This window comes from Homo sapiens, chromosome 6 (genome assembly GCF_000001405.40).
Source record: "Homo sapiens chromosome 6, GRCh38.p14 Primary Assembly".
Lineage (NCBI taxonomy): Eukaryota > Metazoa > Chordata > Mammalia > Primates > Hominidae > Homo > Homo sapiens.
Window position 1 is genome coordinate 100878525 of NC_000006.12, and position 25313 is coordinate 100903837.

The 25313-nt window shown below is 39.5% G+C and overlaps 1 protein-coding gene, 1 long non-coding RNA gene and 1 pseudogene across 7 annotated transcripts in view, besides 1 other annotated feature; 2 read left to right on the forward strand and 1 right to left on the reverse strand.

Annotated features, from left to right (window-relative positions):
* ASCC3 (activating signal cointegrator 1 complex subunit 3) overlaps positions 1-2805 on the reverse strand; it is a 373136-nt gene extending 370331 nt beyond the window's left edge. For all 4 annotated transcript variants that reach the window (NM_006828.4, XM_011535394.4, NM_001284271.2 and 1 more), the window contains exon 1: positions 2537-2805. The gene's annotated coding sequence lies outside the window, so the exon portion shown is untranslated. The remainder of the gene's footprint in view (positions 1-2536) is intronic.
* Positions 2649-2768: an enhancer, noted in NCBI's record as "active region_24867". NCBI's record gives its function as "activates an Ori minimal core promoter by ATAC-STARR-seq in GM12878 lymphoblastoid cells {active_cell/tissue: GM12878}" and the evidence as "EXISTENCE:reporter gene assay evidence [ECO:0000049][PMID:35858748]".
* LOC107984041 (uncharacterized) overlaps positions 2933-25313 on the forward strand; it is a 367164-nt gene continuing 344783 nt past the window's right edge. For all 3 annotated transcript variants that reach the window (XR_007059692.1, XR_002956381.2, XR_002956382.2), the window contains exons 1-2: positions 2933-3130; positions 13474-13521. This is a non-coding gene — a long non-coding RNA (uncharacterized LOC107984041). The remainder of the gene's footprint in view (positions 3131-13473; positions 13522-25313) is intronic.
* LOC728098 (mitogen-activated protein kinase 1 interacting protein 1 like pseudogene) lies at positions 10927-12013 on the forward strand (annotated as a pseudogene).

Sequence of the window (25313 nt, forward strand, 5' to 3'; positions counted from 1 at the left end):
AATTCCAGAATATCCCACAAAGATGAAACGAGCACAAGAAAACGTGGAACAGACCCAGCACATATTAGGCAGTATGTATTATAACTCTTCCCACGAAAGTCCAGTGGAAAAGGGCCTAGCACAGATTATGTCTGAAAGACAAAATTCTCATTCCACCCTAATCCATGAGCCTCTGGGAGGCAGACTGAAGGAATTTACGCCTGCCCTCTTGTGAGAGTGGAAAAAACTCAAACCGTTTTTCCTCTGCTCTCACACGACAACCATCAACACAGAAGATGTCTGTGACAAAATGTGTATGAGTTTCTCCCCATGCACCAAGCAAACAATCACTTCTGCAGCAGACATCAGATGAGTGTTCTCCAATTCATTTCTGACACTATCTAGAGATACTGTCATATCCCACAGATTGAAGGCCCAATCCCACAAGACTGCCCACCACTTCTGATGCCAATTACAAGCTCCAGGCTTTTTTATCTGTACTTCTGACTGACCAGCTATAAATTGGGGATTACATGACCCCCCTCCTTGGGTTCGGTTAATTTGCTAGAGTGGTTCACAGAACTCAGGGAAACACGTTTACCAATTTATTATAAAGGATATTACAAAGGATACAGATGAACAGATACATAGGATAGGGTAATTTATAAGGGAAGGGAATTTCCATGCAGAACTTCCAAGTACTTCCTGGGCACACCACCTCAAGGAATCTCCACATGTTCAGCTTTCAGAAGCTTTATGAACCCTGTCATTTTGAGTTTTTATGGAGGCTTCACTACATAGGCATAATTGATTAAACCCTTTGGCCACTGGTGATCAACTTAATCTTCAGCCCCTCTCTCACCTCCCTAAGCAGTTAGGGGGTGGGGATGAAAGTCCCAACCTTCTAATAATTCCTTGACCTTTCTGGTAACCAGCCCCCATCCTGAAGCTACTAGGAGCAGCCAGCTAGCTAAGACAAAATTCTTAGTCAATTCATTAGCATACAAAAAGGCAAAATGGGGCCCGTAATCCCAGCACTTTGGGAGGCCGATGCAGGAGGACTGCTTGAGCCTAGGGGTTCCAGAGATACACAGGAGATCAATCAGACCAAAGTGAAGACTGGAAAGAAACTGATTTCTACCTCAAAAGAAAAAGCTTTTTATTTATTTATTTTTTTTGAGGTAGAAACTGAGGTAGAACTGTGAACTTTATATTTAAACAAGCTTTGAAAAAGAAAAACTTACTCTTCTGAAATGGCAAACCACTGGTACATATACTACTTTTTGATCAAAGGCAATATCAAATCATGCTGTTAAAGCAAGATCATCTGTTCCCCTTTCAATGCCAATTACATATATACATTGACAATAACTTTTTCTTTTAAAAGCTTTGTTTTGGTTAACTACAGATCCATGGCATGAGAAAGAACCCTAGTCAAGATTCTGTCTTAAAAGGAGGCTGCTGGATTATAGAAAGTTCATGAGCACAGAGACTGTCTCTCTCTTGCTCTCCTAGGCCTAGCCCAGCGTTTGACACATAGGAAGACTTGAATGAATGAATGACAAAAAACTGTTAAGCAGGGATCAAGAAAGCTGAACCATGAAAAATTAATTTCTCATATAAATAGGATTATTTAGCCTAAGCTTAAGAGCATCTTTAAGGATCATTTTTCTCATGCAAGACTATTATAACCATCATTAAAAAAAAGAGACAACATAAACTGGAGCACAATCCATAGTAAAACCAAAAGCTTAATTCTCAACATTTGAGAACTTTGAGAATCAGAAAAAGGATTTCAATCTATGAAACATAAAATCTGGTGATGGAGAAAATGGCTGTCAATCTCACCTAACCTAGGGAAAGAAAGAAAATGTAACCATGAGTTTGAATGCACAAGTGACAACACATCAAACTTTTACCAGCCCCTAGAATTATGCTTCTTTTAAACCAAAGAATAGCAAATACCATTAGCACACTGCATTCCATGAGTAAGTTAATTTATAAGAAACCTATTTGAAATGACTGCCCAGTACTCACAAAACCTCCCTAGCACCCACATACACATTTATTTATTTCAAAATGACATTATAGGCTCCTTGATTGCGAAATTCACCCACAATCCATCACGGTCAGCTACCTATTTACTTTCCAGTGTGTTGGGGGAAAAATATGAGGAAGATTTCTTTCCCCAAATCTACGTGAAGAAAACGAAGTTATCAAGGCTTTGTAACAGAAAAAAAGAAAACAAATTACCCATGCATGGGACAGAAAAACCTCATCTGGTCACGTTGTGGCTTAACACTTGGACAATATGTAGCTTAGGTTAAGTTTTCTATCCCCAACCCCACCTACAAACTCTAGGAATGGGCGGTATTGTTGCGAGACCCCGGACTCGACCTCATGCCACTGAAAAGGATGACAGGTCGGGACTTGCCCCGGAGGCAGGAAGAGAATCTCTGGCGGGTCGCGTAGCCCGCCTCGCCGTCCCCGCCTCCAGCCAGCTCCCCTGGCCGCGGCGACCCTTCTCGTCCTCCCACCTCCACCTCCACCTCCTCACCTCTCGGCCTGGCTCACGCGTTTCCCATCACTCTGTCAGCTCCTGCCACCGCGCCTTCTTCCCTTTCGGTTTTACTTTAACTTCCCACGCCGGGTGAGGAGCTGAGCGCAGGGCCAAAGATGCGAGCGGGCAGCTGTATCGCCGCGCCCCGTCCGCCCTCCAAGCCGCGCTTGCCGGGGTCGCGCCCAGTCACAGGGAACCGCGTGTGAGGACCATCAGTCAGACAGACAGACGCAAAGACGCACAGACCCGGCGAGGAGGGACAGAGTGGAGCTGGCGCCGGCCTACACGTCACCGCCCCGCTGCAGCGCCAACGTCGGCACGTCGACTCGTCGACTCCGGGCCCTCTGCCCCGCCCGCGTGCGCGCGCCGCTCCGCCTCCCGCCTCCAGCCTCTAGTCCGCTGGGTTCGGAGGAGCAGAGGCGGAAGGTCCCGGCGGCGGCGAGGATGCGCCCCAGGGCGGGAGCGGGACGCTCCACTTTACCCTGGCTGCCCGCAACGGGCCAGGCCTGCCGTCTCTACCTCTCTACCTGTGAGTTTTTTCCCTGCATTTACTTCAGTCTGCCGCGTCTTCTCCCCGCCCTTCTCTGTAAGGTAAATATGTGGAGGAAATAATTCCTATTAAAGGTAAAGGAAAGGAGAGCAATTTGAATGAAGAAACAGGTAGTTGCTATCGTCGTTTTCAGCCAAAGCCCTCTGGCTGCTAGAGAGTATACATGGTTCTCTGGTGTCAAGGCCTGTTTTCCATAAGCTTTCTGGATTCTCAGCTTAGTTCCCTCAAAGTGATCTCTGCAAGTCGGCTCTTCGGTCAGAAGACCTCCTCCAAAAACAGAAAGCCCAAAGATTCCCTAACTCGATTGAAAAGATAGGAAGATACGAAGAAAAACTAACCTAAAGAATTGTGTGGTTTATCTGCAAAGAGTTCTAGACTAAAAGCCAACAATGCAAAGATAGTATGAGTTAATATGTTTGTTGTGGCTCTCTTCTGCCATTCCCGCTTCCTCAAGGTAATGTGCCCCGATGCCTGGTAGAACTGTTTTGTAGAGGCAGCCAATAGTGATCCAGTTATTGTCTTTACTGGTCAGACCACCTCTGAAGTGCTGTGTTCAGCATTTGAAGACTTTAATCAAGCTGGCATTATATCAGGGAAGAGCAAAATGATGACGAGAACTCAAAAACAGGGCAAGTGAAGAAGGATTGATTAAACCTTCCAGGACTCACCTAGAAGAGAGAAAACTACTGGACTCTCTCCAAATATGAAATGACCTATCATGTGAAGTTGATTTGTTTCATGTGATGCAAACTTCAGGGAACAGATTTAAGATCCTGAAAAGAAGATGCCCTTGTAGCACGACCCAAAGAATTGCCTACCTTAGCATGTGTGAATACCTCAACCACAGAATTTTGCTTCAAGGAGATTCTGAAGCTCACTTAATAGGGACTTGGTACAGGGGAGCCACACATCAACAGAATAATTAGTTGATGGTTTTGTTAAAGATATTTCCAGTCTTGAGATTACATGTGTCTTTGGTCCTGGACTTCATAGAGTTTACAAGTTAGTTCATGAGACAAGACAAATGCATCACAAAAATAAATAATGCAAGGAGGCCAAGTGATAATGAGAGGTGCTGATAAGTGCTAGGAATTCACATGACAGATTATTCCCATCACAGTTCCAGAGGCTTAAGGGAGAAGAGAGGAACTGAAAATAGACTACCTAGAACTGCCCTATCCATTGGGGTAGCCACCAGTTAAATACGTCTCTTGACATTTGAAATGTGGCTTGTCCAAACTGAGACATGCAATGAGTCCAAAATGTACACCAGATTTCAAAGACTTAGAAAACAAATGTAAAATATTGTAATTCTTATGTCGATTACATGTTGAAATAATATATAATGGATCAAATAAAATATGTTAAAATTAATTTCAACTTTATTTTTACTTTTTATGTGACTTCTAGAAAATTTTTAATTACATAGGTGGCTTGCATCATATTTGTATTACATAGTCCTGGCCTGGAAGGAAATTCAGTTAGCCCTCTGTATCCATGGCTTCTGTATATGTGTCAACCAACTTTGGAACAAAAACAATTGAAAAAAAAAAAAAAAAAGAATGGTAATGTCTGCATTGAACACGCACAGACTCTTTTTTTCTTGTCATTATTTCCTTAACAATATGGATGTAACAACTGTTTACATAGCATTTCCCATTGTATTAGGTATTATAAGTAACCTAGAGATGGTTTAAGGTATATGGGACAATGTGCATAGTTTGTATGCAAATACTATACCATTGTGTGTAAGGACTTGAGCATCCTGGGGTTTTGGTATGTGGGAGTGTCCTGGAACCAATCCCCTGTGGACACTGAGGGATGGTCTTACTTCATTGAACTCTAAGAGCTATCTTTGTCCTCTTTATAGTCCCCAGGGTTTCCCCATTTTTTTTTTCAAGAGATGGGGTCTTGCTGTATTGCGCAAGCAGAAGTGCACTGGGTATTCACAAGCATGATCATTGTGCACAACAGCCGTGAACTCCTGGGCTCAATGATTCTTCTGCTTCATCCTCTCAAGTAGCTAGGACTACAGGTACCTGCCATCAAGCCCAGCTTCCCCAAATGTTAGTGGAAAGACAACCTAATGAAAATGGCCCTGATGACAAAGAGAAAGACCGTCCAGAAAGTATGCCATGAGCAAAGACAAGAAACAAGACTATAACTGCATTCTAGATAATGAAAACCTATTTATCTGTAATGGAACATTGTTAATAGAAGGTAGTGACAAAGTTAAAATGTAAACAAACTAGTCTATAAGGAGACTCAATTTTAAATTTAAAGAATTGAGTATAATAGGCAGTCAGTGTTTGGCAGTCACAAAATGGGATTGGGAGATTACTTTGGCAATATTGGGTAGGGTGGGTTGAAATTAGTGCATGGCTGGGAAACCAATTAAAACTCATTGCAGTGGGCTAGGCGCAGTGGCTCACCCCTGTAATCCCAGTACTTTGGGAAGCTGAGGCAGGAGGATCACTTAAAGCCAGAAGTTCAAAAGCAGCCTGGGCAACATAGGAAGACCCCCATCTCTACAAAAAATAGAAAAAAAATAGTCAGACTTGATGGTACATACCTGTAGTCCTAGTTACCAAGGAGACTGAATTTGGAGGCTCTCTTGAGGCCAGGAGTTTGAGGCTACAGTGAGCTATGATCATGCCATTCAGCTCCAGTCTGGGCAACAGAGCAAGACCCCATCTCTAATTGAAAAACAAAACAAAACTCCACATTGCATTTAAAAATATATCATATGGCTGGGTGTGGTGGCTCACAGCTGTAATCCCAGTACTTTGGGAGGCTGAAGCAGGTGAATTGCTTGAGCCCAGGAGTTTGAGACCAGCCTGTGCAACATGACAAAACCCTTTCTCTAAAAAAAAAAAAAAAAAAAAAAAAAATGAAAATTAGCTGGGTGTGGTGGCATGCACCTATAGTCCCAGCTGCTCAGGAGGCTAAGGCAGGAGGATCACTTAAGCTGGGAGGTCAAGGCTACAGTGAGCCATTATCGCACCCTTGCACTCTAGCCTGGGTAACAGTGAAACACTGTCTTAAAAAAAAAAAGTATCATACCAAAAAAAGGCTCAATATTGGATTTATTTAAATAAATTGTAATACATCTCTAAATATAGAGGCATTAAAAAAGTATAATGTGAATCTGTATTGCTTGATATGGTAATATGTCCAAAATGTACAGTTGTATGAAAGAGCTTGCAACACAATCTATACATAATATGAACACATTTAGGTAAAATTATATATGTTTGTGTGTGTCTTCTGTATGTGTGTAACATGATTATTTTGCAAAGAGTGCCTTAAATTATCTCAAAATTGTCTCAAGAACAGAAAATTTCAAGGTGGAAGTGTTTCCAACCTATTTCTTACAGCTCAACAAAATCATTCATGCTTTTGACTTTTTTCATTTCTATGTTTCATTATCCTTAGTATGTTAGCCTTTCATTATCAGATTTGCCACTTCATGGTTTGTAAGGATGGGTTGCCAAGTTTCAGAACCATTTCCAGCCCATCAGTCTCTGGATACCTCCTTCAGTATGTGTGTGCACTAGGTCTGCCTAGCTCACCAGTGTGCCATAGCCTCAGCTTCTAGGCCTTTCTTATTTTATCTATTGTCAGTCACTTCTTCCCTGCCCTTTTTCACCCCTGCCTTATCCTGCAACACCGAGTCTTAAAATTCCATCTTTACTGCACTCCAGTGCAGTTCCTGCTCTGAAGTTGATGCTTAACCTTTGAGGAATGCTGATTAATAAAAGACTCAATTCTAAAATGTTTTTCTACTCTTTTAAATAAATGATATTAGAAAAGAAAAAAGTTAGATTACTACCATGGCAGACAGTGTTGTTTGCCTCCTCAACCACCATTTCTTTCCTCTTTCTTAACTAGTAAGATGATTTTTTAAAAGTACCAAACAACTCAAAAAATGTGAGCTTCTCCCAAAGTAATTTCATTTCCCTTTGAATAAGAATGTTGTATAGGTGGGCATATGGGCCAAGGGACAATCAGCTTCGGAGAATCCTGCAATATGTTTTACCCAGGTTTCAAAATATGTGCTTACAATATATAAAGGGTTTTTCTTGAATTACTGTTCAATATGGTGAACTCGGCATATCATTTGCCTACTATCCTTTCCTACACACCATAGAAATAAAAATGAAGAAACAGAAAAAATGAAGAATAAGTGAAGGAGTAAAGATGATGTGTGCCTGTATGCATGCACTTACATGAGTAGAAAAAAGTAGATGATGTCAAGAGAAGCAAATGAAATTTCAAAAATGTGTTGGGATACAAAGCAAATAGTAGTGATTTGACCAAAACCATAGCCTAAAAAATATAGTGGAGAAGCTACACAGGATAGGGCAGAAGTGAGAATAAGGGCTGAAAATGGGGATAAAATATGGCACAATTGAATCTATCACCATACACATTTCGCTTTCTCAGACATATAGACTGAGAGCAAGCAAAAGATATTAATATCTGCCACCAGACAAAAAGACCAAAACTGACCCCCCAAATCTTCTCCAAATTAATTGAATAACTAGTACAGAAAAGTGAAGACTTTTAGGTTGATGACACAAAGGAAAAACATTCTTATTCAAGCATTCAGGGCCAGCATCCTGAGAATAAGCTAATTGCCTACTCATGTAAAGTGAAACTTCATATTTGGCATTCCTGGCCCTGTCCTACCTAACCCAGCCACGTATTCACAATTCCTACATAGGAGAGAGAGAGAACTGGCAGACTTCTTACCTACAAAAAGAAAACTGCATCAACTACCAATTTTATATACATATATATATATATATATATATATATATATATGAACAAACATGAAGAATTAACAGGCAAATAAGGAAAATCAGCATCATGAGAGAAAAATACAAAGAAAAACATAGAAAAACTAACTCTAAAGAAGGCAAGGAAGCATAAATAAAAGATTTTAAAGAAGCACCCGAATTAATATGGAATTCAGAACATATTATGTCTACAAGATATGAATAAGATACTTTGAAAAAGGAGCAATGATAGAACAAAAAGAGCTACCAGACATTAAAAATTTGTTAACTTAAAAACTCAAGAGAAGTACTGGAGATAAAATCGAAGAAATCTTATAAGAATATAGTATACATAGCAGAGAGAAAATAAGAAAGAAAACATAAGAATGTCGTGGAGAGCCAATCCAATAGGCTCAACCAGTAGATGAGAAAGATTTTTAAAAAAAAGGGGAGGGAGAGTGAGAAAATTATAAGTTTTTTTTTTTTAGAGCAGAGAAGAAAATAACTATTCAGATTTGAGTAGACTCAGGGTATTGAAAAATAGATTAAAAAACTCATGCCTGGAGATATTATCATGTAATGCCACAAATAAAAATTATGAAGAAGAAGAAATCCCCAAAGTTCCTAAACATAAAAGACTTATAATCAACAAAGGAATAGGGACTGATGCTATCAGCATCACTGCATACCTGAAGACATGACAGAATATTTTCAAAATTGTAGTTGTAGATGTTTTTCAGTCTACAAGTCTATACTCATTCAAATTATCAATTAACTATGAGAGTAAAATAAAGATATTTTCAGACTAACAAGGATGTAGAATATTTTTCTCCTGGGTGATCTTTTGGAATGTCACTAGGCCATACAATCCAACAAAATAAGGACAAAAAGTTATGCTGATGCTAGAGAAAGGTAAGGACAAATCTCTGCAGGATGGCTGTGCAGCAAGTCTAGAGAGCAAGCAGTATACATTGGAGAAGAGCATGGAGGATTCAAGAAGTGAGGTCACATAAGAGAAAAAAAAAGAAGGAATTCAATAGACTAGATGGTAAGATAGGAAATTTGAAAAACAAAAAAATGAAACTGTGATATATATATACGATGGAATACTACTCATCCATATAAAGGAATGAATTAATGACATTCACAGCAACCTGGATGAGATTGAAGACTATTATTCTAAGTGAAGTAACTCAGGAATGGAAAACCAAACATCTTACATTCTCAACTCATAAGTGGGAGGTAAGCTATTAGGATGTAAAGGCATAAGAATGACACAATGGACTTTGGGACTCAGGGAAAGGGTGGGAAGGGGGTGAGGAATAAAAGGCTACTAATTGCATGCGTGTGTACTGCTCAGGTGATGGGTGCACCAAAATCTCACAGATCACCAGTGAAGAACTTACTCATGTAACCAAACACTACCTGTGCCCCAATAACCTATGAAAAGAAAAAATTTCAAATAATAATAATCAATATTTAAAAAAAGTAAAACAAAAAATGAAGATATAGTAAACCAAATAGTGCCAGAATAAAAGGGAGGAAAGAGTAGTTCCTCAAAAGAAATTTTTAAAAAATATTACCATGGAAAGGGTAAAAAACAGTACATATGCAGGAAAATTAGTACCGAAAGGAAGAAAGAGAGCCAATGAAGGAGAAAAAAAGAGTGGTTAAAGAGTTATGAGATAAACGAAGAGTATATTTAAAAAGTTTTCTTCAATCACCAAGGTAATTCCTGCTTCAGAGTTAAGGAGGGTGAAGATTGAGTAAATGTCTTTGGAAATTTAAGTGATTGATGATTTGAAGCAATTTAGTAACATGGTAGGCATGGCATTAGATGTCAAGTGTAAGAGAGTAAATGAGAAGTGAGAAAGTGAAAACAGTGATGATAATTGTTTTTGTCTAATAAATGAATGAAAAATGCAGGGCAATATATGGAAGAAATATCAAGGTCCAGAAAAAAACTGTTACTTGCATGTTGTTTTTAGGATAGAAAAAAAAACATATAAATAGAAGGAAAGAACCTATAAGAAGTGAATCAAGTAAGGAAATAATAAGGTAAAGGCAGACAAGGATACACTGAAGTCTGTGGGTGAAGTTATTCTTAACCTTGGTAGAGAGAAGTTTTCCTGGGACACAGGAGGGAAGAAGTAGAGGATGTTTGAAAATACAGGGAACATTTAATGTGTTGAGGAATGTATAGCTATATAAATTTTGAAGTGAATATGCAATATGAAAGCCATGTTTCTTTTGGTGTCCTTGAAATTATGAATTGTTCATTGCAAAAATATTTTAAACTACTTCCAATCAGGTAGTGAGATATTAAATTTTTATAAAATACAAAAATCAGACAAAATCCAATTTCAAGAATGCAGTCATAGATTAGGTTGCAAAAAGCAACACCATTCTCAGTCAATATAAACATATGAAATGAAAACTACAAGTCACAGTTGTCACTGGTTAATTTAACCTGGTGTCCAATTGGTTTCCTAAATGCCAGGTGATACCCCATGATAAATGTGGGTATACCTATGAACATATGTTAGTGTGTGTGCATGAGACCTAGAGAAAAGAAAATTGGAAGTAATTAGCTTCAAAACTAATGATTTTTATCTAGCCTTTAATATCTGAAACTAGATTTGACTTTCTTATACAAGCAAATAATCCACCAAAGTTTGGGGCTGAAATATATTTATCCTTAAAGCATTGTGTGAAAAGGGAAGAATCATTCCTTGCCAACTGTTGTCTTTCTATCATTCCTCCAAGAGATAAGTTAGGATATGAGACCCCAAACCAACAACTTAATAGAGTTTTCTTCTCATATAATAGGCTAGTGATGGGTACTCCTGAAATTGTGTAGTTGCTTTCTCAATTTAGTCATCCCGGGACGAGAGTACCTTCTTTCTTGTCACTTTGCCATTTCTAGAGTGTTGTTTTCATCTAATAGTTCAAAATGGCTCACAGTCATGACCATATATATTTCAAGCAGCAGTCTAAAGGAAGAGGAGAAGAAAAGGACATATCTTTGGGAACATGAGTTGAAAGTACACCTATCGAGGAGGAGCCGTGCGCTGCTGGTGCTGCTGGTGCTGTTGCCGCCGCTGCTCTCGCTGCAGTCAGTCAGGCTGCGCCTGCTTCTTCAGGGCCCAGTCCCTTGGACACATCGCCGCTTCTAGACCCTCCTGCAGTCTCGGATATTGCTGGGAAAATGTCTGATGAATTTTCGTTGGCAGATGCACTACCTGAACACTCCCCTGCCAAAACCTCTGCTGTGAGCAATACAAAACCTGGCCAACCTCCTCAAAGCTGACCAGGCTCCAACCCTTGGAATAATCCGAGTACTCCACCTTCGGTGCCATCTGGACTCCCACCAAGTGCAACACCCTCCACTGTGCCTTTTGGACCAGTACCAACAGGAATGTATCTCTCCGTGCCTCCCACCGGACCACCTCCAGGACCCCCAGCACCCTTTACTCCTTCTGAACCATCATGCCCCCCACCTGGTGGTCCTTATCCAGCCTCAACTGTGCCAGGCCCTGGCCCATAGGGCCATATCCTATACCAAATATGCCCTTTCCAGAGCTACCCAGACCATATGGTGCTACCCACAGATCCAGCTGCAGCTGGTCCTTTAGGTCCATGGGGATCCATGTCTTCTGGACCTTGGGTGCCAGGAATGGGAGGGCAGTATCCTACCCCTAATATGCCCTATCCATCTCCAGGGCCATATCCTGTTCCTCCTCCTCCCCAAGCCTCTGGGGCAGCACCACCTGTTCCATGGGGCACCGTTCCACTAGGAGCCTGGGGACCACCAGCACCATATCCTGCCCCTACAGGATCGTATCCCACACCAGGACTCTATCCTACTCCTAGTAATCCTTTCTAAGTGCCTTCAGGACCTTCTGGTACTCCACTGATGCCTGGTGGCCCCCATTCTTACCATTAAGTTAACAATGGACGAAGAGATGACGCTTTGCTTTTTGAAGTACGTATATATGCACATGAATGCATATATAAAAAGTGCTGGTTTCACTATTAGAGGGCATTCATGAAAGAACAACTCTTGCACCTCTCAGAGAAGATAACTGCCTCTTGTACTTGGATGTGTAGTACATCATATGTATACAATCAGATAAAAGCATAGAAGTAAATCATTCAGATGTGATTTTTATTTGGTTTTCATGGAAAGTTAAAGTGATAAAGTATATTCACTAGCTCTTTGACAGAATTTGTTTAAACTATGAAACTACACACTTAAAAATCTAAGATGTGGATTATTGTTAGAATCTGTGACTTCATTGGCAAATTACTTCAAGTATTTTTCTATAATCACTTTCCCCTTCTAAATAAATAAACTTTGAGAATAACCCATCATAATCCAAACAAGTGATGCCTCAACATTTTGAGCTGCTCTGTCGGACAAATAAACCTGGTCCTCTTGAGGTTATATTGTGGATGTCATTTTTAAACTGTCAGTAATTATTGTCAGATGTGGAGTTCAATAGCCAGCCAGTGTTCATTTTTATCCTTGAGCTTTTAGTAAAAATTTCCTGGTTTTATTTTTAGTCATTGGGTCATACAGCCCTAAAGTCTGCTATTTATGGAAACTAACTTTTTTGTTTTTAATCCAGGCCAACATGTATGTAAATTAAATTTTTAGCTAATTGATTAAAAAAAAAAAGAAAGTATACCTATCACTTACAGTCATATTTTATTTACGAGACTTAAGTCACATGGTGACACCCAGTTGCAAGGAAAGCTAGAACATACAGTCCTCATTTTAAGCAACTATATACTTAGTTAAAAAGCATGGGTTCTATTACTGTAAGAGATAAAGAGATATTTAGAGATAAATGTTTCACCCATAAAGCTTTTCCTCAGTTAAAGCAAACATACTGGTATTAAGCAGATAAGGGTAGCCTCTCTTCAGTTCTTATCAGAACTGAACCTCAGGGAACAGAATGGAATGTAATGTCAATAATAACTTTTATCTCTTTCAAGCATATGAAAATTGAGCTAGTAGAAGATGGCAAAATAAAATGCTGGATATTAATTATTTTAAAAATTAATTTTTCCTGAAACTTAAACTATTCTTAAGTATTTTTATGATTAAGTGAAATTTTCATTCACTCTACCCACAACTAATTAAGCATATATCTCATAATCCACACTTTGCTAAGCATTGTGAAACATTCCAAAGAAAAATATGATATGATCTCTATTCTCAAGGAATTTACAAGAACTTACAGTTTGGGTAGGAGACAAATTTAACATTCACAAGACTTTTCAAAAACAATTAGGTGCTGAGTTGTGTGATACTTCTTTTATGAATACAAAAGGAGTCTAAATTAAAGATAGGCCCCTGTTGGCTGCAGGAGATTAAAAGCCTTTGTGGAAAACTGAAATTTGAATTGATCATATAAGTATAGGTAGAATTTATTTATAAAACCTTTCATATGTAAACTCTTAAAAGGTGTATTTGTAGGATTCATTCTAGAATATAAAGTTACTGAATTTTAAAATTCTTTTGTTGCTGGTGATAGTTTAAAGGATAAAAGTGGCTGATTCAGTGTATATGCCAGTTTTCTGTGTTTTTGCTTTAGGTTGTATCCACGAGTACCAGCAGAGTGCCTGACACATAGTAGACATAAGTAAGTATTTGTTAAATAATTTTCTTTTTATAATAGTGTTTCCTTTATTATTTGACCAAGAACTTTTAAAAATTGAGCTATAGCTTTTTTAAACATTGAAGTGTTCCAAAGTATAGAAACCTTAAGTGAACAGTGCTATACACCACTTCATGCAACTGATAGATGCAGGAGGACGATAAGGGAGGGTCCTGGGAGAAGCTCCCACTGGCCTGGGCATGGGGAGGATGGGGTGGAGCCTCAGGAAATTCACGCCATTTGCAGGGGGCAGGAGCCTGGGCTCATCAGTTCCTGTGTGGTGACCTGGGATTCAATCTGTGAGGCCTGTTAACAGGAACCCCTCTCGCTTTGCAAAGTATTTTTTTCCTTTTTGCCCAGTAAATTCCATTCCCCCTCACCCTGCAAAGTGTCTGCATGCCTAATTTTACCTGGTCACTTGGCAAGAACTTTTTTTTTTTCTCAACATTTTTGGCACCCAGAACTTGGGACATGAAGAAGGGTGAGTGAAATGTGGACTGAAAACCTCTCACTTTTATTTCTGAGTATTTTGTTCCTATGACATTTTTCTTCTTTTTTTGAGGACAGTAACAGCATCTATCTTTTCTCCTCCCCTCCCCTCCCCTCCCCTCCCCTCTCTTTTCTTTTCTTTTACAATATGGGAGGTGGTCCACACCCACCACAACAGCCACAAGCATGCCTGTGGGTTGGTTGGGCAAGCAGTGGCTCCCCACCCGCCTTCTCTCCCAGCTGAGTGGAGTGCATGGCCCTGACTGCCACATGTGTGTGCAGTGTCCAGCTGCATGGCAGGAATGAGCCACAGTCACTATCCAGGCACCAGGGCCGCCTTGGGGGCTTGGGCTCTGCACAGCTGGCTGGCCAGACTCCTGCTGGGTCCATGCCTGGGGGAAAGGAACCAATTTGCAAAAGAATATGAAGTTCTTCCCCCAGGCATCTTTCCAACCCTGCACTTTAACTTTTGTTTCCTTTTCGCTATCTAGTCAGCAGTTAATTTTTATGTGAGAGGGTTACTTTTTTTTTTTCTTTTTGGAAAACATTTTAACCAGGCCAGGACCCCAGTGATCACTGTTTATATTCTCTGTAAAGTTTCAGTTATGAAAAAGGATTTGTGAGATTGGTCTTAAGCGATAGCCAATCCGGTGTGCTTTGCATGACTTTCTGAATGATCAGCAACAAAGTTTGCTGTGGGCCTCCCTCTTGTTTTAGGTCCTTGAGAGCATGATGTGTAACCCTGTGGCAATGCTTTGTTTAGCGTCTACACAGCCAAGATTCAATCCTGGCTTAAGAAATGACTCCTGTTTGGTTTTTTGTTCTTGCAATAGTTTACTGAGAATGATGTTTTCCAATTTCATCCATGTCCCTACAAAGGACATGAACGCATCATTTTTTATGGCTGCATAGTATTCCATGGTGTATATGTGCCACATTTTCTTAATCCAGTCTATCATTGTTGGACATTTGGGTCGGTTCCAAGTCTTTGCTATTGTGAATAATGCCACAATAAACATATGTGTGCATGTTCTCACTCATAGGTGGGAATTGAACAATGAGATCACATGGACACAGGAAGGGGAATATTACACTCTGGGGACTGTTGTGGGGTGGGGGGAGGGGGGAGGGATAGCATTGGGAGATATACCTAATGCTAGATGACGAGTTAGTGGGTGCAGTGCACCAGCATGGCACATGTATACATATGTAACTAACCTGCACAATGTGCACATGTACCCTAAAACTTAAAGTATAATTAAAAAAAAAAAAAAGAGAAGAAATGTATAATACACCTAAAAAAAAAAAAAAAGAAATGACTCCTTTCTGCTTTGATATCTGTGCGACCTTTGCCATTTATTGATTCTCTTCCTCTACATGAACCACCTCGGATTTTCCTTTCCCTGAGCTTTCAGTAAAGTTTGAAAGCCAGAAATATTGGCCGCTTGGCACAGCTAAAGTCAGGTAATAAGGTGTTAAAAGGATTTTCTTAAAGAGCATTCAGCTTAATTGAAAGTGGATATCCAAATTATAGGTATATTTAAAAGATCTTAATGTTTTTCTCTTCTGGGATCTTGTTTGGCTGGAAAAAGTGTTTTTTTGTTTTGTTTTGTTTTGTTTTGTTTTGAGACGGAGTCTCACTCTGTTGCCCAGGCTGAAGTACAGTGGCACGATCTCGGCTCACTGTAATCTTTGCCTCCCAGGTTCAAGTAATTCTCCTGCCTCAGCCTCCCAAGTAGCTGGAATTGCAGGCACCTGCCACTGCACCCAGCTAATTTTTGTATTTTTAGTAGAGACGGGGTTTCACCATCTTGGCCAGGCTGGTGTTGAACTCCTGACCTTGTGATCCACCTGCCTCGGCCTCCCAGTGGAAAAAGTTTTGTTCTCAGTGAATGGAATTCTTTTTCTCCGTTTTGCCTTGCCACTTTCAATGCATGCATGAGAAGGGAGAGACCTCTGTTTTCCTAATGGAATTAAAAGTGGATAGATTCCTCTCAAAATCTGTTTTTGCCCCCAGTTATGCCTGTTTATTAGGCCTTAGAGGCTATGTGTTTTCCTGGCCCTGTCTCTTAAAGGGCTCCACCAGGAGGCCAGTAATCCAAGTAGGAGACTGGCAAGCAAAAGATCTTATGGCAACTGGGTTTTCTTATGCCTGTCTGTGTAGTTTTATGTATGTGTTGTGTTTGTGATGTCTATAAAAATAGCTTTAATTGGCCTAAAGGAAAATGAGTGCTTGCATCAAATATTTTTCAAAGGGAAGATAAAAGCTGTGATACTTTTTAATTCATGTGACTTTAATCTTTGAGAAGTAAAAAACAGCCTTAAAGATTATAGGGGCCAGGTGCGGTGGCTCATGCCTGTAATCCCAACATTTTGGGAGACCGAGACAGGTGGATCACTTGAGGTCAGGAGTTCAAGACCAGCATGACCAACATGGCAAAACCCCATCTCTACTAAAAAAAATATAAAATTAGCTGGGTGTGGTGGTGCATGCCTGTAATCCCAACTACTTGGGAGACTGGGGCAGGAGAATCACTTGAACCCAGGAGGAAGAGGTTGCAGTGAGCCGAGATCACACTATTGCACTCCAGACTGGGCAACAAGAGCTAAACTCCATCTAAAAAAAAAAAAAAAAGATTATTGGTAAAATCCCAGATATCATCAAAATGTAAGTAAGTGAACTAAATTATGCAGGTCTGATACTAGTTTGCTAAATGTTTTAAAGTTATACTGCTTTTTGGGTTGTGAGAACTCTTTGAATTGCCTGTTCCACAATTGGTAAGGCCCAGGGACATATAAAATTGACTATGCCCTTAAGTATGCTGGAAGGAATCAAACCTTGGCTGCACCTACTGCATAATTAAAGCTACTTGCTAGGTTTTATATTAAAGTTAAAAATTGCTGGGAGTTACCATTATAACATTATAACATTAAAACATAAACTACTAGAAATAGATTTACATGTTTGGTGTGTAAGAACAGTAACTTTTTTTAGTAAAAGATTATAAAAAGGCATGGAAGTGTAAATTCTTGCCTAGGGTTAAAGAATTGTTTTAAATTAGATAAGATAAAGCTAAAGTTCAAACAAGTGGTGGAAGGATTGTAAAAATTAATCTTGCAAAAATTGCATGGGTGAATATATTGACTAAATTCAAAAGGGTGTTACATGGTTTTTCTGTAAATTGAGCATTGAAATAAAAGCACAACAAGATACTCTTAAGGCACTAATCTGCTCTTTAGCAAAATTTATGAAGAGTTACAAAAGGTTTTTACTTTTTTACATTTCTGAGTCATTTTGGCAAAATAAATAACTTATGGTAATCTGGAGTTTCGTTTCATAACATCAAGTATTTTAAACCTCTTCATATTTAAAAGGCTTCCCAAAATCAAACTTCAGTTTTGAAATTGTCTTTGCTGATGCCTGGCTTTTAGATGCTACAGAGGGCCCCTGGAGTATTTAAAAGAGAGGTAAACAGGATTATTTGACATGTTTAGCTGCATGGGATTGCCAAAATGGTGTTCAATCTTCTTTAGGTTATATTTTGGTGGATAATACTAATATATGTTCCAAAATTGTATGACATTTCTAAAGTTCTAATGTCTAAAGTATATGCTATCAATCATAATTAAGGTACTTATGTTAAGTTATTGTAAAACACAGAGATAATGAAACTTCTATGGACATTTTGTTATTCACAGACAATTGTCTTGTTTCAATCCTTTTCAAAAGATGGTTTATAATAAGCTATAGTACTCTGACAGGTGCTCTCCAATACAGGTTTCTGATAACTTTGGAAATGTGACATTGGAATAAAGGAAAAATGCACAGGACTCATGAAGAGCCAAAATGTTCACTGATACCAAGCAACACAAGAGTTAACTAAATGGACTGAACTCATAGAAAACTGAATCAATCTTTTTGACTTTTGCATGGAATATTGCTGATCCTTGTTTTGTTTTTCAGAGTCCAGGAAATTTATTTTGAACTATTTACAGCCTTTAATAATTGAGAAAATTATACTCCTCTGAACAAAATCCGGAGCATGTTTGTCTCTCTTTCTGCTTGGCTTTTCCAGAATATGGAAACTAGTTATGAGTATTATTTTTTTTTTTTTTTGAGTCAGAGTCTCACTCTAAGGCTGGAGTGTAGTAATGCAATCTTGGCTCACTGCAACCTCCACTTCCCGGGTTCAAGCAATTCTCCTGCCTCAGCCTCCTGAGTAGTTGGGATTACAGATGCGCACCACCGTGCCTGGCTAATTTTTATATATTTAGTAGAGATTGGGTTTCACTGTGTTGGCCAGGCTGATCTTGAACTCTGGACCTCAGGTGATCCTCCCGCCTCGGCCTCCCAAAGTGCTGGGATTCCAGGCGTGAGCCACCGTGCCCGGCTGTTATGAGTATTCTTAACTCATGGCAATATAGTTGTTTACATCAGTGCAATAAGAATCTATTTTCTTTTGCAACAGGATGCAATTGGAGAAACTGGTTGTTTTAACAAGGCTTTGACTGGAAGGGTATATGCTTTCCTTTAAGGAGTCAAGTTCAACTTGCAGAGCTGATAAAAGCCCCTTGGGAAAACTGGCCTCATACCCTTGTCTATGCAGTCCTTTTAGGTTTTCTGACATGTGGTAAGTAAAGAATGTCACTTCCTGACAGGCCCAGGAGCTCCAAGTTTATCTTGGGACCTTAAGAGGAGAGGATTACCCAACTCACAGGTATTTGAGGGTACAAACCCATGGCTGGGCTCGGCTTTAAAAGGTCTTATCTGAGATTCCTTGTGGAACAGAGTTCCATCAAAGCCAATCTAAAAGCCCTGTTTCTAAAAGAAATAATTATTCTTGCTGCATTTTATGCAAATAATCAGGCCAAGTATAAGACTAAAGTCTATTTTGCAAACTCGATCCCATCATGATTTGTTTTTTTTACAAAACTGAGGATCCTCATGTTTCAAAACTTATCATACATTTGCCATTAGATTCTACACTCATTAGCTGTTTTTAAGACTTTGCCTACATTTTAGACTAACCCTTCTTGTTCCTGTGAACCGATCAGCAATCTCCAGCTGCAGCTCAGAAGGAACAAGAGGGATGGGTAATGTAAAAATCTAGATCAATATTCTAGTTCTGAATAATTATCCTGCAAATCCTTCCAGGTCATGGAAATAAATAGGATGTCTATTACTTGCAGGTTTCCTTTTTGGGAAAGTAAGACCAAGGGAGCTAACCAGAGCCGAGCACCATGCACCCAAATCTTAGCAAGCATAACTATAGCGACAAGTTATCTGGGCATATCACAAGACATCCTTTTCCTTCCCTTGTTGGAGGAGTACTCCATTCCACAGCTATACCCTAGCATTTGGCAGCTCATGATAAGGAGTCCATGCAACTCCCCCTGAGACACATTTTGTCCCAAACTCAATTCCAAGCTTTGGTTCAAAGCCCTAGAAAGAAAAAATGGATCTGAGGTATCCAGAGGCAAATGATAACAGAAGTTAAAGGGCGGCCGGGCATGGTGGCTCACGCCTGTAATCCCAGCACTTTGGGAGGCCGAGGAGGGCGGACCACGAGGTCAGGAGATCAAGACCATCCTGGCTAACATGGTGAAATCCTGTCTCTACTAAAAATACAAAAAATTAGCCAGGTGTGGTGGTGGGCACCTGTAGTCCCAGCTACTCGGGAGGCTGAGGCAGGAGAATGGCGTGAAACCAGGAGGCGGAGCTTGCAGTGAGCCGAGATTGCGCCACTGCACTCCAGCCTGGGTGACAGAGTGAGACTCTGTCTCAAAAAAAAAAAAAAAAAAAAAAGTTAAAAGGCATAGTGCAGGTGAGCATGACTAATTCCTGCCAATTAGGCCAAGCTTTCTATTTCATGGATAAAGGTCATTCTAGTATCCATGGCATAAATGAGGTCTAGGGAATTCAAAGGCTACTGACAGCAGGGGAGATAGGGCGTAAGTGGGTAAGAGCAAATACTCCCATTCCCTGCCCCCCCACCCTGTTAACATGGGTGAAAGTCACTTTGACAACCATGGGTGGCACCCTGTTGCAGTTGCCAGGACTCAGGGATACAGTAACAGAGGAAAGAAAGAGCAATGCCTTGCTTCCTCTCTCTCATGTATCCCAGTTATTTGCTAGGAAGAGATGGGAACCAGGGATGCCTGCTCCCCTCTTTCTAGATCATTAGGCATTCATCTTCAGTCTGTACCCCTTTCGAATGCATCCTGAACCCCTGGGGCTCCTTTGAAACAGGAGTCTTTTTTCTTTTTTCCTCCTCTGTCCTCTCTTAGATAGGTAATTGTGTCTTTGTACTACAGGACACTCTCCTCAAATGCATACTCCAATCTTGCCAGAGTTAATTTCCCAAACCTTAGACTGGTTGGCTTAGGATTGGGCTCGGGGGAAGGGAACCCAGAAGCCTGACATGCTGGCAAAAGTAAACAGCTGGGTTTTTGGCCTCCCTCTCCCTGTGCAAATTGGTAAAGGGCCTTGGGATTTTTGAGCTGTCCTTACTCCACCCTTGTTTCATTTCGATACATGTTTTCTAATAACTGAATTGTCTCTTCTCCCTTTCAGGCCATCAGATTCTAAACAGTCATGCATCCGGGGCCTCGGACAATGGCCCTTTTTGCTAGGGACCCTTAGATAGTCCTCTGAGGGAGCTCTAACTGCTGTTTTCTCCAAACAGCACTCCTTGTCAACAGGAAGCAGTTAAGATCGGTCTTTGTCCTTATCTTTATCCTAACAGCACTTAGATGTACTTCTTTAGTGGGAGGAATGATAGACATAGGAGGAAGATAAGGGGGAGGGTCCCCAGAGAATCTCTGACCAGCCTGCGCACTGGGGGGGTTGGAGTGGAGCCTTGTGAAGTTCACGCCATTTGCAGTGGGGAGGAGCCTGGGTTCTTCAGTTCCTATGTGGTGACCTGGGATTCAGTCTGTGAGATGGTGGTGTGTTAACAGGAACCCCTCTGGCTTTGCTGAGAGGTTTTTTTCCTTTTTGCCTAGTAAATTCTATTTCTCCTCACTCTTCAAACTGTTTGTGTGCCTAACTTCTCCTGTTCATGTGACAGGAACCCATTTTTTTCTACAACATAACCACCACCCAAATCAGGATTTATAACATTTCCAACACTCCATACAACTCCCTTATGATTCCTCCTAGTCAGCACCTAAATCCCTACCCCACCTCACCCACCCCAAATTAGCCACTATTCTGATCTCTATAAACATAGACTAGTATTCCTGATTTTGAACTTCTTATGAAGGAAATCATATGTCACTCACTATTTTTCAATTTGTTGCCATCCTGGCTTTAATTTGTGAGGCTTTTTGATACTTGAAAGAGGTATTTCCCACCCTCTATTTTAAGACTTTTCTTATGGGAGAACCTAATAACAGTGTGGAAAATGTTTTTTATTATACAGTTTTATACATTAAAGATGTCATTGATCTTTAGACTTCAAAGACAGGTTGTGCTTACCTTAAGGATAAGCCAAAATCAGCATAACTTTTATCCTGCACCATTGTAATACAGCTTGGTACTTTTAAAATGACAGCCAAGTTAATTTGCTGTGATTTTTTTTTATTAAAACAAACCTGGAAATCCCCTGAGAAGTTTGGGCCAATTACAAACTTAGAGGCACAGTACCCACCCTAATTTCTGAAGCCAACTGGAGGTTTAAAGAGTCCCCCAAACCAGATCAGTTTTGATAATTTGCTAGAAAGACTCAAAGAACTCACTGAAAGCTGTTATACTCATGGTTATGGTTTATTAAATGGAGAGGGTACAGATTAAGATCAGCCAAAGAAAGACACACATAGAACGTTGTCCAGGAGAGTTTTAAATATGAAATTTCACTTGACTTCTAGCCATGAAATCAGGATATCACTGTTCTGTCATCTACGTGTGACAGTATGCATATAGTATTGCAAATCAGGGAAGTTTACCTGAGTATTGTGAGTGGTTTTTTGGGGGGAGCTTCATCATATAGGCATAATTGATTGATTGTTGCCCATTTGGTTAATCTTAGAATCCAGGACCATTGATACTGTGACACTGTGTGACCCAAAGCTCCTCACTTAAGTTATGTTGTTGGTATTTTTGGTTGTCTAGCCCCAAACATAAAACTGTATATGTGTGGCTAGTCCCCACCCTAAATCACATTGCTAGATACCTACTTTGACCCAAGTCCCCCAGACAAACAGACAATCCTATAAGGCTAGGCCTTCTCTTTGAGCAAGCCCAAATTCTTTACTTACTACATGCCTTCTGAATCTTCACTTCCCTATGTGGAGAATTTGTTGCTTTTAAACCCTAAAATTAAATTCCTTTTACAAAATTTGTCTCCTCTATGATTAATTCCATGAATTTTTATTTTGAAAAACTCTGAATGATCGTGAAGCATCTCAACATATTTGACAAGAGAATTAATATCAAAGTAGGAGTACTAACATTTTCTTCCCCCACCAATTATATAATACATATAAGTATGAGAATTCTACCAAGATTACTAAACTTGAGCATTCCTTTTAAAGTTGGGCAATAGTTACAAAATAAAATTGAGAGTTTCCCAGTAGACTGTAATGCCAGAACTGTCATGAATGGAAAACAAGGCTAAGTAGCAGCATTTCAGTGATTTTCAGGGTTGGGGTTCGGGCAAGTATACAACTCTCCCCCAAGAAAGAGTGAAACTCCTAAGGAGCTCTATAAGAAACAGTAAATTCCTCAAAAATTGTATCTAAATTTTGAAGAAAAATTTTTTTTACATAAATATGTTGAAGAGTCATCACTATGGAACTATTATAGTAAAAGTGAAATTAAAATATTTAAAAGTTAAGGGGCTACTTAGTATTATTCATGTCAAGTTTCTGTTTAAAATAATTTTCAATAACTATTTTGATAGATTTAGCACCCTTCCAAGTTTAGATATGAGTTGCCAAGTTTTTTTTTCTTCTTGTTAAGATATTTAACAAGTTCTGTGTTTCTACAGAACTTAAATGGATGAAACAGGCTGGAGACTGAAATGCCACCTTAGCAGCTCAAGCAGGACTGGGGAAATTGAAGTCAATCAAATCACAGGCCAGGCAGGCAGCTTTTACAGAATTATGGGTCAGGAAGGGCAAGGTTCAAGTCAGGCATGAGATTCGGATTTCATAGGCTCAAGAGGCTGAAACTAAAATATTTATTTAGCTAGTTCTCTTGGTTAATTTGAAGTTTCATCCATTCATTCAATTGATATATATTGAGCAACTACTATGAGTTGGCAAAGTAACAAGACAAGAAAACGATGTTGCACCTTTTACAGATGATAGCTGACTTGCTGAACACTTAACTTGCTGTTTGCCAGGCATTGTGCTATGCTCTTCTTTCTGATAGTTAAGTTTATTAATTATTACCTAGGTTAAACAAATAAGGAAATCGAGTCTCTGACACATTTACCATTTAGCTGAAAGAAAACATCTCAGAGCCGCTTGGCCTATGCTCTAAAGTGGAAACTTCTTCCCGTCAAAGGCCCTTGCCAGTTGTGGTGGTCACAGTTTCTCAGTGTTAGAAAAAGTATCCTTATCTTCTCTATCACTTTCAGCTTCTGTGCTGGATACAGGAACCACATCTTTTGGCAAACTATGAAATTTCATAAAGAAGGGCAACCCTCAGGACTGATGATGAACCAATTATGGGTTACTTTATTTTCTTCTTTATTAAAAAGGTTTTGTTTTTTCCACCCAGGATATCAGTATTTTCTAGAAAAGGAGATGCTCTGTTTGGTTACAGCTCTATCACTTGTTGTTTATTTTGCCATTATGCAGAAGAAAGAAAAATAGGGGTAATTTTAGCAAATCAGTATTTAAACTATATATTCAAGGTTGCATTAAAATAAGGTCTTCCCTAATAATATGATATTGGTTTCACTAATATCTCATTTTAAAATTTAAAATCTTGGTACAATTAATTAATGAACAAAGTGAAAAATTGTCCTTGCCTGAACATAAAGTCTCAGATTTAAATACTCTGCACAGCCTTGGCTATTTAATCACTAAAGTGAATTTTTACAAATAATTGCTGACATATATATGCTCTTTGGGAGAATGTCTCCTTTTTTTTTTTAACTTTCACAAAGACACAGCAAGGACTTATAAATACATATATAAGCACAACAAGATTAAGTGGCAATTTTATTATGTATGTAGCACTAATTATTGTTTTTTCTTTTATGAAAGCAGAAAGAATGTAATATCCTCTTGCAGTTTGAGACTCTGAAAGTGGACAACTATATTCTAGGAATAGCAAGTTTGTGTGTTGAGACAACCTTCCACCTGATATGAATAGAGGTTACCAATACCCACAGCTGACATCAGTCTCAGAATTTTGTCTTTTCCTGTTTAGCTATCTTCTGACCTGATGGAACCAACTCAACTTGCCAGATGTCAGAAGTTTAAAAAATAACATTTTAAAAAGCAATATTTACTAAAAGTGTAAATGTTGTTTTTATGTTGAGTAAGCATAGCTTTTGACATATCCAAAATTAAACTTTATTTTTTTTCTCTTACAGTTTCTTTAAATTCTACTTGGTGCTGGAGGTGGGTGGAGTTGATTGGTGGGGATTTCCTGTACTTAGATGAAAACTCTGGTGGGATCTACGGCTTTGTTGTTGTTTGCTTTTAAGTAATATAACATTTCGTAATCGTTGTAGGTCACAAACACTTTTCCAATTAGACTCTTGCAACTAGACTATAGTACTATGTAATAATAAAAATTCAGAATTGAATTTAGTATTAATTCTTTTCCTTTTCCCCCAGCATAAGGCTACTTGAGGCTGAGAGCCTGAACTGAGGAAGTAGAGTGGACCTTCTTCTCTCTCCTTTCTCCATATCATGACATCCTCCCACCCCACTTATCTCTCATTTCCAAGGCTACACATGTCCCTTAATAGTTGGGGGATTGAGAAAAGATCAGGAAATTAGGAGATATAGCAAGCTTCTCTATATTTATTTATTTCTTTATTTATTTAAGACAGAGTCTCGCTCTGTCACCCAGGCTGGAGTGCACTGGTGTGATCTTGGCTCACTACAGCCTCTGCCACCTGGGCTCAAGCAATTCTCATGCCTCAGCCTCCCTAGTAGCTGAGATTACAGGCTTGCATCACCATGCCTGTCTAATTTTTGTGTTTTTAGTAGAGAAGGGGTTTCGCCATGTTGGCCAAACTAGTCTCAATCTCCTGGCCTCAAGTGATCTGCCTGCCTCTGCCTCCCACAAGTGCTGGGATTACAGGTGTGAGCCACTGTGTCCA